Source organism: Homo sapiens, chromosome 1 (assembly GCF_000001405.40).
Source record: "Homo sapiens chromosome 1, GRCh38.p14 Primary Assembly".
NCBI lineage: Eukaryota > Metazoa > Chordata > Mammalia > Primates > Hominidae > Homo > Homo sapiens.
Window position 1 is genome coordinate 243,447,544 of NC_000001.11, and position 18,692 is coordinate 243,466,235.

The 18,692-nt window shown below is 40.7% G+C and overlaps 1 protein-coding gene across 6 annotated transcripts in view, besides 1 other annotated feature; it reads left to right on the plus strand.

Annotated features, from left to right (window-relative positions):
- The window catches only part of SDCCAG8 (SHH signaling and ciliogenesis regulator SDCCAG8), a 244,051-nt gene that overhangs the window by 191,503 nt on the left and 33,856 nt on the right, over positions 1-18,692 (plus strand). The window lies entirely within an intron of this gene.
- Positions 6,225-7,424: an enhancer, noted in NCBI's record as "BRD4-independent group 4 enhancer chr1:243617070-243618269 (GRCh37/hg19 assembly coordinates)". NCBI's record gives its function as "activates an origin of replication core promoter dependent on BRD2, P300/CBP, MED14 and CDK7 cofactors, and independent of BRD4, by STARR-seq in HCT116 cells {active_cell/tissue: HCT116}" and the evidence as "EXISTENCE:reporter gene assay evidence [ECO:0000049][PMID:35650434]".

Sequence of the window (18,692 nt, forward strand, 5' to 3'; positions counted from 1 at the left end):
CTGTTTACTCCTTTGCTACACTGTGACTCAAAGGGGTGGGGCAGCACTTTTGCAAATGTGTTTTACAGACAATCCGTCCTTCACAGATAGTCTTTGAAAAAAAGGTTTGCATGATATCTTAGTTTTGGAACATACTGCATAAACTATGTACTTTTTAGAGAGTCAGAATGTACATTAGGATATTAAAAGCATTGATAAGTCTTCAGAATTATTAACCATTTTTAAAATTTAAGTTATAGTTCAAATAATATAAATAAAAATATTTGTAAACATTTAAAACTTTACAAAGAAGGGTAAGGGGATATGGTGTGAAGAGCTACAAACTTCCCTGTGGGGTGGTTCTTGGAGACATGTCACCAAACTAAGCATGTAAATGGCTTCCTGTGGCATTTCTTAGAGGAGCTAAATAGTTTCTGCGTGGCTTTGTGATCATCTTTCACCCTTCCTGTCCCAACCGTGGCTTTTATTTTGGCTTTATTTCCCTTATAGCATAGTGTGCAGCAGGATTCCCGAGTCCTTGCTTCCTAACTCATGGGTTGGGAGAGCTGCTCATGGCTGTAGCTGCTGCAGGCACCCGCATTGCTGAACAATGGGAGGTGTCATCCACAGGTGAAGCTTGAGGTGTGGTTCATCCAGGCTTCTGGGACCTTGTCAAGGCATAGATTTAGACAGAAACAGGTCCTCCAGGGCTTGGTTATGTCCATTACTAAATCTGGCTGTAGCAAACAAGGAGAGTAAACATCTTTTCTTTATAGTTCATGAGCTCTGAAAAGGGATTTTCTGTTGTTCCGTTCTTCTCAGGAATCTAGAATCAAGTGTGAATAAAAGTAGAGAGGTGGTTGGTGTTTGTTCATGTATTTATTTTATTTATAGTTCTTTCACTCTACATACATACATTCTTCAGATATGTATTGTGTTCTAACAATGGTAACAGGGGCCTGTGGTAGGCTTTGGGGTTGAAAAGATGTGTAAGACTTAACCCTTGTCTCTCAGAATTCACAGTCCGGGTGCTCGTGCCTGAAAGACCTTTTCCTCCCCTGCCTAGAGACCTCTTATTTCCCAAGACACAGGTCAGCCATCATCTCCAGTACAGGCTTCCTTAATGCCACTCTCTGTGTTACTCAGCACTTCGTTCAGACAGCAGTTTGCTCAAATGTACAGGACATTATAATTATTCTTTGACTGTCCAACTTGTTTAGACTGTGACTCCTTAAGGACAGAAACCATACTCTGGTCATCTTTGTATCTCTTGCCTATAGTTCAGATCCTGGCCCTTAGAAGGCATTTACTAAATGAATTTGTAGTCCTTTTTATCTTCTTTTTAAAAATCATCATATTTTATCATCCTTTTTATCTCCTAAAATTGTAGAAGGGTAAAAATGAGACAAAAGCAGAACTTGATGTGTATGTGCAACATTTAAAAAATATTTTATAACCTCTCATGTATATCTTCATGTTTGGAAAACCTACTCACTATATGTGTGTCTAATTACTATTATGAAGTAATAAAAATCTATAGTTTTATTGTATAATGATGCACATCCAGTGGACACTCAGTAAGTGTTAATCACACTATTAAATATGCTTTGATCTCATTATAACTGGAGTGGCTGCCTGGCTCTACTTAGGCTATTTAACAACTCATTGTGTTATTAGTTGATCCTTATTTTTCAAGGTTTGTAGGTCATGCTTAATGGAGCGACTTGCTAAGGTTGTTAGCAGTTACATAAATGACTCTGACTTTACAAATTTTATGATAACCATTTGGAATGAATTATATATTTTCCAAGCTTTTGGTTCCCCCAGTGGCTGATACATTAAAGAATAATTGGTAAGTTGCAAAATTTGTGACAGTTTTGTTTTTAAAAAATCAGCTAAATTTGGCTTTTTACATATTGCTAGTGATTTCTGTATCATAGATGAAGGAGATAGCATAGACTTGAGGCTGGGAAACACGTTTCTTCTTTCACATAGCCAGGCAGAACAGCCCTTGGAAGACGATCCTTGGAAACACATTATCATTTCTTGTTCAAACCAAATATACTTAACTTCTGTATCTCTTCCACTTTAAAATCATTATTTTTGTGACCGACGTCTGGAAGTGCCCCAGTTTTTCCACATGGCCCTTAACACATAGTGTTAGTGTTGCATTTCGTAGTTCTCATTTTGAATTATGCCTCTGTGTTCACTAGCAGGGTTACCTCCTGTTAGGCCCGACTGGACCATGGAGTCCTGGGCTCCTTTTGGCCTTTTGCCTAGAGTAGGGAGGCCTCAGTGACTGCAAATGTGGCAACTCGGGCAGTCCCTTGGCCCTTTCCCCTTAGGTCCACACTCCCATCTTGGGATTCTGTCTTTTCCACTTCAATAAATGGCTCCAAGGAAGAGCTTGAAAACGTATTTGGATCTGATTGCCAAATTTCTCACCAGAACTATTCTTTCAGGGTGGGATTTTTGAGGTTGGGTAGGGGCAGGGTTAAAAACATGAGCTTTCTCTAGAGGCCAACATTCCCTGATTCTAGGCAGTTAGTCAGACCTTGTTCCTATGGTAGACGTCTCTGTTTTCCAGCACTTAGAGCACTGTATTCATGGCCTTCGATGTCCTTCTCTCCTCATTAGATTGTGAGGTCTTCAATGTGAACCATGTGTTATCAATCTCTGAAGTCCCAGTGTATGGAAGTGTATTGAATTAATGAATGATTCTCTAGGAACTGACATTGTTTTCATTTAAAAGTTGTTAGGTAATGGTTAGGATTAATATAGGCTGATTCCATATGTGTCCTCAGTTCTTTCCACCACACCATTAGGGTTTGAACTCCCCTGGCTTCATTAGCTATTTTGCAACTCCTTTAAGCTGCTGTATAGTTTGGTTCATTTGAAACAGAAAACCAGCGAAAAATACAAAGGTGATTGAATACCTATTACATGATAGGAATTCTGCAGACCTTGGAGATATGGAAGATAAATCAATCACTGACTTCCAGGGATTCTTGTCTCGTGGGAAAGCATGTATTCTAGCGTTGCTAGCCCCTGTTTTAGTAGAGATATGAGTGGACAGCATAGGGTATGTATAACCTGTTTATTTTTGTTTGTTTGTTTTGTTATATAACCTGGTTTTGTTTGTTTGTTTGTTTTGAGACAGAGTCTTGCTCTGTTGCCCAGGCTGGGAGTACAGTGGTGCCATCTCAGCTCACTGCAACCTCTGCCTCTCGGGTTCAAGCAATTCTGCTGCCTCAGCCTCCCAAGTAGCTGGGATTATAGGTGTGCGCCACCACGCCCGGCTAATATTTGTATTTTTAGTAGAGACGGGGTTTCACCATGTTGGCCAGGCTGGTCTTGAACTCCTGACCTCAGGTGATCCTTCCGCCTCGGCCTCCCAAAATCCTGGGATTACAGGCGTTAGGATTAATATAGCATTTAATTCTAAAATGCTGCTAAAATCACTTGTTGAAAAAGAAGTGTTTATTGATATGACAAAATGTTCAAAATATATCCCCTAAGGGGAAATAGGGTAAAAGTAGTATACATTATTTCATCTTTTGCATACACAGAAGGTATATAGTTATAGATCTATAGATGGATATGTACTGCAAATGTCACATCTTCTTCATACTCTAGCTTGTGTATCTCACACATGTAGACTCAAATTTTGCCCCATGTCAGTTTGTACATAGAGCTCAGCATCTCCTTGAGTTTCCCTAAAGATTTCATAGGCACAAATGTACTGCTGATCAGCATGGATTTTACTGAAGATATTGTAAGATGGAAAACATTCATGCCATACCTCCCTTAGAAACAACATAACAATCTCCATTAATACTTAGTTCTCCCCTCCATAATCCTTTCCTGGGTGCATTCCCAACTTGGAACTTTTTTTTGTCCTATCTCCCGCTTTCCTTAACCCTATAACTTTCTAATTCTTTGCCTTCTCATATTTCTAGGAGCCAAACATTCTTCACCCCCTTCTATTATGCAGAACCATCCAGTTCTGCCACAACTCTTGTCTTAAATGGACATATTCAGAGTAGCCTGCTTCTTGAGTAAGCACACATTGTACACACATGCATACAGACACTTACGTATATATACTAAAGGAAATTTAAGCCAGGCCCGATGGCTCATGCCTGTAATCCCAGCACTTTGGAGGCCAAGTTGGGTGGCTCACTTGAGCTCACAAGTTCGAGATCAGCCTAGACAACATAGAGAAACCCCGTCTCTACAAAAAAAGAAATACAAAAACCAGCCAGGCTTGGTGGTGCGTGCCTGTAATCCCAGCTACTCAGAAGGCTGAGGTGGGAGGATCGTTTGAGCCCAGGAGGCAGAGGTTGCCGTGAGCTGAGATCACGCCACTGCACTCCAGCCTGGGCAGTAGAGCCAGACTTTGTCTCAAAAAATAAAATAAAAAGTTGATTGCGGCCTGCTAAAGTAATTTTGTGACCCACTAAAGGGTCATGACCCACAGTTAAAAAACCCTTCCATCAAAGGCCCTTTGACAACCACACAGCTGCTGAATAAAATTGTGTCCCTCTTGTTACATCTCGTTACACCTGCGTGTGCATGCTCAGGCGTTTCCATGTGTGTGCACACACAGACAGACAGTAGGCCACACACCAGAAAGGAATATAGTAGTGCTCTCTGGGATTACTGGTGTGCCTTCTTCCACTGCACTTTCTGGCCATTTCTAAGTTTTCTGCACTAAGCATGTGTTAGTTGTGTAAAAGGAAATGCAAACAGTAACAGGCTCAGCTGGGGTTTTTCGTCTTCCCCTTTTTGTTACCTCCCCTAGTAACCCTTGCAAACAGAGTTAGACTCCTCTATCTCTTTCTCTGTCATACCTTTTTGACTTCTCCCTACCCTTGAGATGATCTCATCTCTTTTTTTTTTTTTTTTTTTTTTTTTTGGGACAGTATCTGGCTCTGTTACCCAAGCTGGAGTGCAGTGGTGCAGTCACAGCTTACTGCAGCCTCGAACTCCTGGCCTGTAGGGATCCTCCTCCCTCAGCTTTTTGAGTAGCTGAGACTGTTAAGTGTGCACTATCACACCTGGCTATATATATATGTATATATTTTAGAAATGGGGTCCCACTGTGTTGCCCAGGTTGGTTTTGAACTCCTAGACTCAAGTGATCCTCCTGCCTCACCCTTCCAAAGTGCTGGGATTATAGGTGTGAACCACCGTGCCCAGCCTGCAATGAGATTCTTACACTGAAATGCATAGATGGGCTGTGAACCTTCATAAAATTTATATAAAACTTAATGTTTACTTATTTCTTTTCTGAGAAGCAGATCCAATTATTCTGTGAGGGCTTCTGTTGTGCCAGGCAAGGTTCTAGGTCTGATCCTTTAGCAGCCTCTCAAAACGTTGAAGAACTGAGTGACTCTTCTTACTCTGTTGTTTTCCTTCTCTGAACTGTGAGTGCCACGAGGCAAGGACTTCATCCGTCTTGTTCATCACTGATTTCCTGCTGCCTAGAACAGTGCCTGGAACATAGTAGGCACTCAAAAAGTGTAGTGTTCTGAATGATTAGGCATTGTGAAGTAGAAAATACATTTATCTTATGACTCTCCTTTTCCGGAGTTGATGAGATATCATGATGTTATTGGAGGGTGCAGGAGGTGATCAACAGTATTCTAGGACTTTGGGAATTCAGACTGGGGATCACAAAATTTGGAGCAGGTTTCGCTTGGCACTCAGGTGGGCATCTGTCTCCATCCCACCGGCTGTACTCTGCAGTGGCTGGTAAATTACACTCTTCTTGGTGGGCTTGAGGCCCCAGCCCAAGACTGCAGGGTCAATGCAACATAAAAGTCCAGGTCTCCTGACTCGGAGTACAGACTATGGCAGCACTCCTGAGCTTGACTTTCCCTGGGCTTCATTTAATATGGTTCATTTTGTTTTTGAAGGTAGTTTGTGCCATAGAAACCAGACAGGGTGTTGTTTAAATAGTAGGCTGATGTCTCAATGTAACATATTGGCCCACTGAGCTCTACAAGAGTGTGAATCACAAACCCGCCTCTGTACATTTCTGATACAGTGTGAATGTTCTGGATGTAAGAAAATCCTGTTAAGAATGATCAGGTTATCTCATTTTGCCATCAATCGTATTTTGAAATGTTCGGTTGATAGAATAACTGCTCTTCCTGGCTAAATAGATTCTCTCAACTCCAGCAAAATATTTTTAAAATCAGGTAATTCAGCCAGTAATCCAAATTTTATTTGGTTTATTTTCTTCAGACTGTATATATAATACCAGGACTGAGTGTTTAAAGTTCAGCTCAGTGTGTAGTATTCCTGTGATAATTTCAGCACATAAAATAAGATGTTTACAAAAGCCAACCTGAGACCTATATTCTCCAGCAGTTTAGCAGCAAATTCCTACTCTGGGTATATAACAATAATTGGGATCTTTCTATTGGCTTTACATAAACTCAGATTAGTAGTAAAATCTAAGTACCATCCCATTTGGCAAACTCTTAACTTCAAGCAGTCACAAATTTGCTTCTGATTGTGCTTTTCATTCGCACCTAGCTCAGATTTTTGCCTGATGCTTTTTTAAATCCTCTAATTTACATACTGTGGTAAATTTAAAATGAGAACAGATGAATGCTGCTAAACTTTTCTATTTCACTGATGAATATGGTATTTTGCTTTAACTATCTAGCTGTTATATATTCAATGACCTTTAAAACATGAAAAAGATACTTCTTTTCATATATACCGTGCAAGATGAATTATTAGTATTGTCTTCCTTTGAAACTATGAAACTGAGACACAGAGGCCAAGCAGAGCATCTGGGAACTGATTTCCACAGGCCTAAAATCAGAGTTTCCTCTTCCCGGGACTCATACCCCTTCAGCCAGGCAGAGAGGCCTGGTTCGCTCACGTTTGGTTATCTTGGAACTGTGGGAGGTAATGCATCCACTCGGAATGCACTTCTTTCCTTACCCCACAGCCCCCGTGCACCACAGCCTACATCACTGTACCCGTTTGGGCATGTCGGAACAAGCACGAGTAAGGGAAGAGGTCGCCGTTTTTGAGTGGCTAATAGGAATCTGCTCCAGCTAAGCATATGTTATCTCACATATTGTGGTTAATAATAATAATAACCGTGTTCTCCAAAGGAGCCAAAGGAGAGTTGGAGAAGTTACATTATTCAACAACTGAGATGTCTAAAGCCTGTGCTCCTGTACTATCTTCTGTTTGTCCCTGTTATCTTGTTTAGTGAGCAGCATAGCATTTTGCAAGAGTGGACCGTTCACCTGGTCAGGATTTCAGTCAGCATGACAGATGCACCCTCCACTGTGGTCGGTGTCTGGGGTAACCAGAGAAAACTTCCCAGATACGGTAGAAATAAACTTCCCAGATACGGTGGGAATAAGCTTCCCAGATACGGTGGAAATAAACTGCTTGACAAAATGAATAGATCCACCATGACGTAATTTTCTAACTGTTCATTTGTTTTCAATAACCAAAAGCAATATTAATTTTGAAATTATATACACTACTTATGATTAAAATGCTGTAATTCATAAGACAAGGAAAATCTAGGGCACATTTTAAAAGAAAAGTTTAATTTTGAAAGGAGGAAATCTATTTCAGAATGAAGAAATGAAAACTTTTGAAAGCTTTAACAAAAAATTCCTAGGGAATTTTGAAGTTTTATTTTGCCCTAACATGAAAAAGTAGGCCAGTTGCTAAACGTTAATTGCTTTACTTCCATCTATCTTTATTTTTGTTTTTATTTTTTGAGATGGAATCTCGCTGTGTTGCCCAGGCTAGGGTGCAGTGGTGCTATGTCAGCTCACTGCAACCTCCATCTCCTGGGTTCAAGCAATTCTCCTGCCTCAGCCTCCCAAGTAGCTGGGATTACAGGTGTCGGCTACCATGCCCAACTAATTTTTGTATTTTTAATAGAGTTGGGTTTCACCATGTTGGCCAGGCTGGTCTCGATCTCCTCACCCCAAGTGATCTGCCTGCCTTGGCCTCCCAAAGTGCAGGGATTACAGGCGAGAGCCACCGCACCTAGCCTATTTCCATCTATCTTGATCACACTTGATCATGTTGAGAGACTAGAGGCTCTGAAATTTAATAAATGACCTAATTCAAAATATCTTACTCCAAATCCAGCTTGATAGAAAGCCAAACTGTTGTCAGTATATCTCACTTTAAGCAAACCCAACATATTAAATCCATATTTACAAAATGGATTAGTTAAGTAGTCATTCTTCACTTAGCAACATAATTCATTATAGTAAGTTCCCCTTGTAATGCATATAAACGTGATTTACTTTATTAGAACCCTCTGTGTGTGCCACATTTCAAGTGCAAAGTACATTTGATAATGTTACTCAACAAATTATTTTCTCATTTGTCCAAATATTTGGTTGGGCATCGCTGTGGCCCCTAAGGAAACAAACAAGTGGGTCAGAATGGCCTCTGGACCGAAGGGATGCGTGTTGCAGGAGCAAGGACTGTTGGCGTGGGCTGATCGCTGGTCTACAGGCTGTGGGAGCTCAGAGCATGGACCCAGTCAGTTCAGTCTCCATCATCCTAGTTTTCTGGATCTTCCAACTCCTTATTCATCGAATGAACCGGGAGCATGCAGAATTTATCTTGGTGGAAAGCCTTTCTCCTCAGTTTTCTCTCCCTGTTTTGGTTTACTGAACAGGAAAGCCTGACATAATTAGGTCTGAGAAGAGTCATCGGGTTCTGCTCTCATCCTTGAGCCTGCCCTGGTTGGTAGGGAAATTCACTTATTAATTCTGTGGCTGGCTTTGGGTCATGCAGATGACCCAGGGTCACTGGGCTTTTCAGGTTATCAAAAGCTAAATGACGTGGGACACTTCTGGGGATTAGTTTAACGAAGCTGTACAAATATAGTCAGATGACAAATTTGGAGATGTAGTGGCAGAGTAAATAGTATTTTTAAAAAATGCATGCCTCTGAATGTAATAGTAAACCTGTATGAGAGGCTCTGCTTAGAGAGAAATTAGAGTGAGCTATTAGCTGTGCCTATATGTTTATTTTCATATAAATACATCAAGAAAGCTAGATTTTTTGCTTTTATTTTTATACCAATATGCCTAGGTTAAAGTGGGTCATTCCCAGCATTTAAAAAGGGGGTAGAGGGAGGGCAATTGGCTTGGTTTTGGTAAAGGGGTAGGGGATTATTTTTTATTTTATTGTATTTAGGGGGCAATCTTCCATCTTTATCTCTTCGTTCTTGTGCTTTTCCTGGACCATGTATTCTGATCATATTTAACTTTCTATTGTAGAATTGGGATGGAAGACCTAGAGTTCAGCTTGAAAATCTTTTGGTAGATGCTATATCTTTAATAAATGTTAAATACAGGCATCACACTTTTAAAGAACATTTGTTTTTAAGGGTCTTTGTGCATTCATCTGAGGAAAAAGCAACCAAATCTGTTTTATTCAAATTCCAAATTCTAGGGGAGCAGATTGTCACAGAATATACAGTGATGAACTTCCAAAAAGGAAAATGGGCGGAAGACTCGTAGGTATTTATCACGCATGCTAGAAACATTAATGCTTTCTGAGGAATCAACAGATCTTTGATTCTCTTTTGGTTGAGTGCACCTTATTTTGTAAAAAAATAATTTATTGATTATTTCATATTTTTTTCTTTAAGGAAAAATCTTATAAATATTCATATTCAGAATAGCATGTGTCTATTCTGTTGATCCTGAAGCCATAAAAGAAGTTTCATTCTCAGTGTCATGTCAACAATGAAAATTATCACAAAACCAAAAATAATTCATGTAAATGTCCGCATTGTTTAATCATCGGTTTTAGATCCAAAGCATCATTCTTTCTGTTTAAAGTGGTCATTCAGAACCGAATATTTTAAATGACTTATAGGAGCCCTGTAGAAAATGTACAGAAAGAATTCACCGTTTAAGTAAAAATATATTTGCTTTGCTTGGCCTGTCAGTTTCCATATTTGCAGTGGCTTCCCATTATTGACTAGCATCATGCATTGAGGATTAGGTTGTCAAATGCGGTGTATTTACTTTTGAACTTCTCTGCTGGTAACAGTCGGTGCATACGTGACATTTGTAATGCTGATGGTTGATTTCAAAGTATAGTATCTAAGTCCAATTTTTCATGCATTTTATGAAGCTTTTGTCCTTAACACTTTGATTTAAGTCGCTCAAAATTCATTCTTAAAAGAGAGATCATTTCGATGTTTACATAATTGCAACCTCAAGCGTACTTTGCAAATTTCAGCTGGCACTCTCCAATCCCTCTGTTAAGTGGTTATCAAGGGTGGTTATTACCATTTACAATATGAGGAAACCAGGAGACAGGGATTTTATTGACTTATACTGTGAGGCAGCATTGCTGCTAGTCTGTTAATATGTGTTTTCGTCTCTTTTCTAAACAGATTTTAAAATTTGGCTATAATATGTTAGGCATCACTCTCTGGCAGAAATATAATTGTCAGGTGTGCTGGTATGGATAGAGGTCCTGCAGAAACCTTCAGGACCCATCCCAAAATGACGAAGACACAAGATACAGTTCTGTCCTCATCTTGACTTTTGTGTGGGTCAGAGTGAGTTACTAATTTTAGAAGTGTTCTCGTGAAGACATCTGACTACTCAGCACACACAATCTTAAGGTCTTTGCTGTAAGAAGCTCAACCATCCTTTAGCCTCCCTGGCCAGGGACCCTGGCCTCTGCTTTTGTGTTTCAAGAATTCTTGGTTCTGGCCCTGTCCTTGATTCCCTAATTTCCACAGTTTGACAGCACCGAATGTTGTGTTAAGCTTCTTGCTACCATGTAAAAATTTCCTGACACCTCTTGCAATAATAATTGTTATTATATAATATATAATTATGTAAGATATAATAAATATATAATAATCGTCATTGTAATTCTCATCACTGTAGTAGCAGCAGCTAACTTTAGAGCGTGCTTGCTATGTACCAGCTCCTCTTCTAAGCACTTACCTTTTAAACCCACTGAATTTTCATAACCACCACATGAAGCGAGTACTAGCAATATCCCCATTTTAACAATGAGGAAACTGAGGCACAGTGAGGTTGAGTAACAGGCTGAAGGTCACACAGCTACTATGTGATAGATGCCAAACGTGAACCTGGGCAGTGTGGCTGCCAATTCTGGGAAGAAGGGATGCTGATTTGAAGAATCTTAGCAATATTTTAGCTCCCATAATAGTAAAAATTTTTAGAAGCGCTTCCTGTGATTCCAGTCAGATATGGCATTGTTTTATATTCCCATTGTCAGTGATCTCTAAACGGCATTCCTGCCACTAAACTGCCACTGTTTTCCTACAAGGGACGTCTGATCAGTTTCTGAATTGAGTCCCAAGATACGTGCCTTAAGCTATTGCATGAATATCTCTATGTGGGAAATTCTTGTGTTCTGATAGATGGAGAAAAATGTGGTGGAGATAGTAAAATATTACCAGTTTCAAATGTGTTTATGTTACCTTAAATTTGAGGCAGACTATGGAGAGTGAGAAGAAAAAGCAGAGGGGCAATAATCTGAAATAAAAGAGTGACAGAAAGGACAATTTGGTAAAGCCTTTCCTTCCCATAATGAAAAAAGTAGTCCCTAGTTATTGACAATTCACTCAGACATTACTGTACTTTACAATAGTCTTTACAATAGTCTTTCAAGGTTTCTTCCAATTTATGATTGAGGAAGTGGAGGCTCGGAGGGAGGAAGTGTGGCCACAGCTGCACAGTCCTAGGAGGGAAAGCTAGAATTTAAATAGGTTTGCCTGACTCGAAAGCTTGTGCTCTCACTGAAAGTTCATAGTATCTTTCTGCCTCTAAAGAGAAGATGGTCCTGTTGAACCTGGAAAATCAGTGGCTAACATGGGGCTTTTCAAGACTCAATAAGGTGGAGGAGGCCAGAGGTTCAGCACGTTCTGCCAGAAACAAGTCACTGAAGAACGGAGGTGTATTACAGAAAGGCTTGGGGGGTGGGGGGTGGAAATAATTGTACCTAAAATGAAAGAAAACACAACCTTTTGGAAGAGTGGGAATGGAAGGTGATACTAAAATATTTAGAAAGCTAATAAGTTTTTGTTTTTTAAGAGACAGGGTTTAACTCTGTTGTGCAGGTTGGAGTGCAGTGGCACAATCATAGCTCGTGGCAGCCTTAACTCCTGTGCTGAAGTGATCCTCCCACGTCAGCCTCTTGAGTAGCTGGGACTACAGGCGTACCAACACCCTCAGCTGATATTTTTATTTTTTCTGGTGATGAGGTCTCACTACATTGCCCAGGCTGGTCTTGAACTCCTGGCCTCAAGTGATCCTCCTGCCCAGGCCTCGAGAAGCTAGTAAGTTTCTAATCAGTTTGCACGTGCTTCTGAGTATGCTAATGCTTTTTTTTATTACCACTCAATGGTAATAAATGGTGACGTGGTAATTCCAAGCTGTTTAGGAAAATTTGTACTACCAAATGTCACTGTCACTCAAGGGATTATTGCATATAGGTCTTATTTTGTTTGTTCTTTTTTAAGGCTTTCTCTGCCTTTCTCCCTTCTGTTACCATGGCAATATTAATGTTATTGATCTGAGTGGAACATGATGTTATTCACCAGTGTGACATACATTAGATTTGTAAAGAATCTATTTATTAGAACAATTTATCAGGTGTTAATAATGCTCATACATTATATTATTTTTTGGTCACCCAATATAGAAGCCTCTATTGAGATAAAGAGGCATGATTTTTTTTTTCACAAAATGGATGATTTCTTATTTTAAACACAAAGTGTGTGTAGCGAGCACTACTTTCTCTAGGAGGATCTCCGGGAGGATTCTGGTGGCATGTTGGTCAGCCTTCCCTGAGGCGACCCGCAGGAATGGAATTGGCGCCAGCAGGGAACAGTCACTCACAGTCCACCCAACTCACAGTGTGACTGATCACCACGCCAGTCATGTCAAAACTGGACATTTCCTGTTCACAGAAAGTTGAAGCAGGTCCATTTTGAAGAACATCTGATTGGACATTTAAAAATGGATAAAGATGATTCAGAGGACCAAAAGCCCAATTTTCCATTTTCACAAGCTATAGGTAGAGCAGCCCTAGCTGACTGGAACAAAGTGTGACTGAAGCATGTTTATTGTGAAGAAAGAGATGGAAATACTGGAGATGGGCATTGACTTAACTCTATTTCGGTAATGTTGTGGCCACACCAATAAGTCCCCAGCTTCCCTCTCCCCTGTGTAGCTTTTTCTCCTTTTTCTGTTTGTTGCACCCCTGACGGCAGCGTGTTCGGCTTGTTCCCTTTCTCAGGTGGTGGAAGTCTGTGGCCTCTTAGCCTGTGCCTCCCAGCACACCTGAAGAAAACCACAATTCCCAGTGAGGCACTGACGCTTGTATCTTATTGCTTAATTATTATACCTATTTAATGCTACTTAGAACATTGTCAGCTGTTGAGAAAAGGTAATTATCACTAGTCAAATGAAAAACACTTTTTTGGCTGCCTTACGGGTACACATTTTACTGGTACCTTGATACATAATGAAGCCTGATAGCAAAACTTTTGCTTGTCTCTTCTTCAAGCCACAGCTGTTTCCCTGCTAAATTCATCCCATCTGTCTTCCCTTCCGTAAAGCTGTAGGCAGTATAGCAGAAGTACAGAAGCAGTTCAGCGCTATTTTGGATAAACATAGCTGAAATTTGAATCTTTGCCATTTGCGATGCACACATTTTGTTTTACTGCTGTAAAGAGAGCTGTCAAAATACAACTACATGGATAATTTACTAAAATGCAGTCAAATGTAAGGTTGATCAAAGGGAGAGTACATTGGGTCACTCTGACTATTCCAGTCTGTGCTCTGAAAGGTGTCACTGACCTCGAGGTCCCCATGAATTCTGTTTGGGGAGAGTAGCATCTGAAGTCTTTGCTTTAATTCCGCAGCATGGTTTTGAGGAGTTACCAGTTCCTTGTAACTGTATCTGTGGCATGACTTTCAGAGTCTTTAAGAGGCTTCAGAAGTCCATTTTCTTCATCTTCAAAAAATTTGCACTGATGAGAGATGTTTTCTCTTTCTTGGCACAGTCAGACAGAGCTGAGCTACATGACCATTCTGCTGAGTTCTGACATTTATTTCATTGGAACCTTTGTTACCACTGAGGCAGTCTGTTTCATTTTCATCCCATTCCTTATTTCTGGACTATTGGTGCGTCTAAATGTACCATGGTACATTTTTAAAACTCAATACTATACAGAGCTTTAGCGTCAAGGGAGGTGTTTTCTTGGATGAATTCCTCTTCTCAATTCTAAGAAGATTCACCTCCACCTGGCCCACAGCCCTCACACACATATTTACTGCTTGTTCCCATGTGCAAAGGTCTTTTCCGAGCCCAAATGGGTCATGACCTCTTCGAGGGGAAGGGCTAATACCTAATATATTTTGGTAGCCACTGTGATCAGAGCTCATAAGAGGTACTTGGACTTCAGGTAAGTGAAACACAACATCTTTGGAATGAGATCTTATCCCATTGGTTCTTTACTCTAAGATTTCACTTTACCTTACCCTCTCTCCACCACTTCTCAACCCTGCATCAGTGTAGCACAGAGGGAATGAAGGGGGCTGCAGGAAAGGTTTGGAGGCCAGGCCGAGGATTGAGCCCACTACTTTCTGCCCTTCCCCATTTGCCAGAACTCAAGTCACCTGGCTCAACCAACTGCAGGAGCTGGGATGCATGATCTAGAAGAGGAGGAACCTGTGGAGTGGTGAGCTCCAGTGTTCTCGTTCCTATCATCCCTGCCTCTAAAAATAACCCTCCATAAACAAATGATAGCAAAAGTCATCTCGTGCATATAAAGACATGACAGAAAGCAATATCTTTTTAGGTAAGGGGCTGTGTGGCTGTGAAGGTAAGGACAGTAACCAGTGAGGTTTCCCTCCTAACACTGTCATACACACATCCTTTTCACAAATGTCATCTTGCTAACAACTATGCAACCTCCTTGGAGTGAAATCTTGGCTGTCTTGTTCTCCACTGTATCCCAACGCCCAGTAAAGAAGACATTGTAGGTGCTCAGAAAATATTTGCTGAGCAAAAATGAATGCATGAATAGTAGAACAAATTTACATTGTATTTTTTTCACATTATCTTAAAACTCCTACCTTTTGTACAGCCAGAAGACACCAGCACCTATGTGTGCACTGCATTTAAACAGCTTTAGCAATATCATAGTGCTGTTGGGTCCCCAGCTGCTGCCAGTGAAATTGTTTACCTAGAAAGTCCCCAAGGCCTTTTCTGCACCAAGATATTTGCCTTCTCTCATCTTTTGGCAAAAAACAAAACAAAACAAAACAAAAAAAAACCCTAGGCTCTTTGGAAGACAAAAAAAGTATATGACTGCCACACATGCAACCAACTCTCTGCTTCCACCAAAGGTGGAAATGGTTTTGTCAGTGGTTCTCTGAAAGCTGTTTATTTTAAAAGATAAATAAATCTTTCCCCTTACCCTGTGACATCTGATCCAGGGCCAATAGGAGCTTTCAAAACACAGTCAAGTCCACTGATGCTGTTCTTAAAAATGCATTCTTTCATTCAACAGCTGCATGTATTGGACACTGTGCTGGATGCTATGGGTACCAGCAGGATTCAGTCCTGACTCTCAAGGAGCTAACATTTTAGTGCAGGAGGCAGACAGTCATAGTGCACTGTGGTAAGAGCCATGGGTAGGGCACAGAAGAAGGAACAGGTAAGCATGAGAAGGCCAAGAGGAGCTCTGTAGAGTGGCAACACTTGATGGCTAGGGAGAGGCAGTGTATGCAGAGGAGAATAAGGCCCTTTCTCTTCTAATATTTTTTTGGATTGCACACTTTAGAAAACAATTTTAGACTTAAGACCCAAAATGAGAAGAAGCACATGACTTCTGGCTGACAGCCCTGACATCCCCAATATGAGGACATGATTCTGTGCCTTGCTGGACCTCCTGACTGCCCAGCCAGCCAGGGCTGCTCCTGTGTCTGTCCAGCCCCAAGACCAGCCTGATGGAAACCGCTTCCTGTAATGCCTAATATAGCACAGTCCACTCACAATATGGGTCTAAAACCAGACTTTTATCTTGGGAGGGAAAAAATAATATATGTAACAAAAATGTAATCCATGGTAATATTACTCATTAAATTCACCATATGATTAGGTTTTTGAGTTTTTAGTAATCCACTGACATCTTCTCCCTGTCTTTGTGATGAGTCCAGAGCCTGCACCTTTGACTCTGTTTGCCTGGGTGGTACTCCGACATCTTCGATAGGGAGGGTAATGAGACCGTTCTGCCAGTAGGGCACATGGCCACATAGACTGTTTAAATCATGAAATCTCTTGGAAATACCCATCCAAGGGATGGATGTGAACTCTCGGTGTTCCCGTGAGAGCCAGCAGGGGTAGGTGCCATTGGCTAGAGAGACGGCTGAAAATAACCCTTCATTCAGAGCCTTGTGTAGAAAGTTGGGTTGCTGTGCTCATGTCCTCTTGACCCAAAATTGTTAACATGGTTGGATGAAATGCTGTTCCTAGAGGGGAACAAAAGTGGCTATCACAATTAACATGGCCCTGTTTGACACCTGATCCTAAAAGTGATTTTTGTAAATTAGAGTTTGAAGCATGTGGTGGCATTGGTGGTGCTTTTTCTGAATGTTGTTCACTTAGGTTTTCCAGTTACACGAATTGTTTTCGGGGAGCTTACACACCTGTTCCCATCCTCTGGGGTGGGCTAGTTGCTATGTTATGAACCTTAACCTTTGCATATACCTCTGTTTTATTCATGGGAGGTCACAACTTGGTAATTCTGTCTAGTATTCAAGCAGATTATTACAAGTGCTTAGAAGACTAATATAGTTAGCATTTGATTTGAAAGGGACAAAGACCAGTTAATAGTTTTCTGTAACTATACTTAATATTTCATCAGGCAAGTAAGGTTGCTGCCACTTAGTTAACTGGGATGCCAAGGAATTGCTAAAAAAAATCAAATTAATACACATTATTACACATATTTACACACATTGAACTATTTCAAACCAGTATTGCTGGAATAAAGACAAAATAATACTGTGTATTTACATAACACCATAACACCTTTCATCAGAAAAATCTCAAGCCTTCGCAGACTAACTAAGCTGCACAACACCGTGTGAGGTGTGTAGGAAGTAAGATAGGACAATAAACAAGAAGTCGATGGAGGGAAAAGGCAGGCAGGCAGGCAAGCATGCTTGCATAGGGTGAGTGAGACTCCTTCCTGCTGGATGACCCACTGGCATTCAAGTCCTGGTCACCCCATCGTGAGGATACCTAGATTGAAAGCTCCAGTACATGTCACAGGTGATTACAGACTTGAGTATTCTTCTGTGTGTTGTTTTTCCATTCTAATGTCTGTATTTTAATTGAATCGACTGGACAAAGATACAGCATTCCACCTCTACTGGACTGTAACAGTGACTCCCAGTGTGATCAATCATTTGATCATTGTTTCACTTTCCCTAGGGCCAACTAAATACAGTTTCCTTTATTTTTCCTTAGCTAGAATTTTTTTACTAAAGTGTGACAGTTTATTCTCTAGAAATGCCTAGAGATGGCTGGGTACATGCTAGTCCATGGAAAAGGCATGGGTGAGTCATGGTCTCTTTTGGGAGGGTCGGGGCTGGTGGGAACAAATTCCTGCCCAAGCCTGCTTCAGTGGCTGCCATGCCCAACACCTCCCATGATAGGCCTGGCCTGGCACTGTGAGCAGAGAGAGCTGACCAGGCCTTCTGTGGAGCATCTGAGACAGGCCTGGAGCTGGAGGCAGTAGCGAGCCAGGAGAACCAGCGTGAAGAACACAGGAACAGCAACAGGCCAATGGGAGTCGTGAATTTGGCTTTTCGAATTTTGGAAGAGCATACATTAACATCTTTAAATCAATTTTGAATGTACTATGTTCTATTGGATATTCAAAAAGTTTAGTCCTGAAACTTAGTACTCATTCAGTTATCCCATGCAAAGGATTTATTCACCTCATCCTTTGAGAAAAAAGAATTTTCTGTATGTTAGTCTTTCACACAGCCTCTGTTTCGGCTTAACCTTTCAGATTTTCAGATAATTTAGGTGTCACAGATACCCATGATAGGATCGTTTTTCAGACACTATAATTTAAATGTCTCTGAAATGTAATAAACAGAGCTTTGTCTGGGTTTTGGAAATGATGTTTTCTTCCCAAACAGCTGTTCATTTGTATTAACACTTTTTTCTGTCTCTAACAGAAAGGCAGCATTTCTTTTTTATGTATAATCTCATCGGCCTTTTCATCATGTTAACTGTGTCCAGCGTATTGTTGTGGTATTATTTTTAATATCCTGGTGTACCACAGGCAGATGACTAGCATGACCTCAGGGCTTTCTGAAGAGAAGATACCGCTCATTTTTCCATAGCCTATTCTAGGGCAGACTCTCACTCTCTATCTTAGTGGGGCTGGCTAATTTCATTACCTATTCAATTCATCTGAGACCATTTTGGTAAAAGCGTTGAAATAGCAATGCGCTATGAGCTAGTCTTTGCTCCTGTATTCAACTGGCAAAGCAAAGGACTTTGGTTTTCATTTTGGGGGCCCCAGTTAACACCCAAAGGATGGCAATTTATGAGGCCCTGATGAAGATGGTGAGAACTGGCATTTGATATATATCAATATTTGATTTATTTGA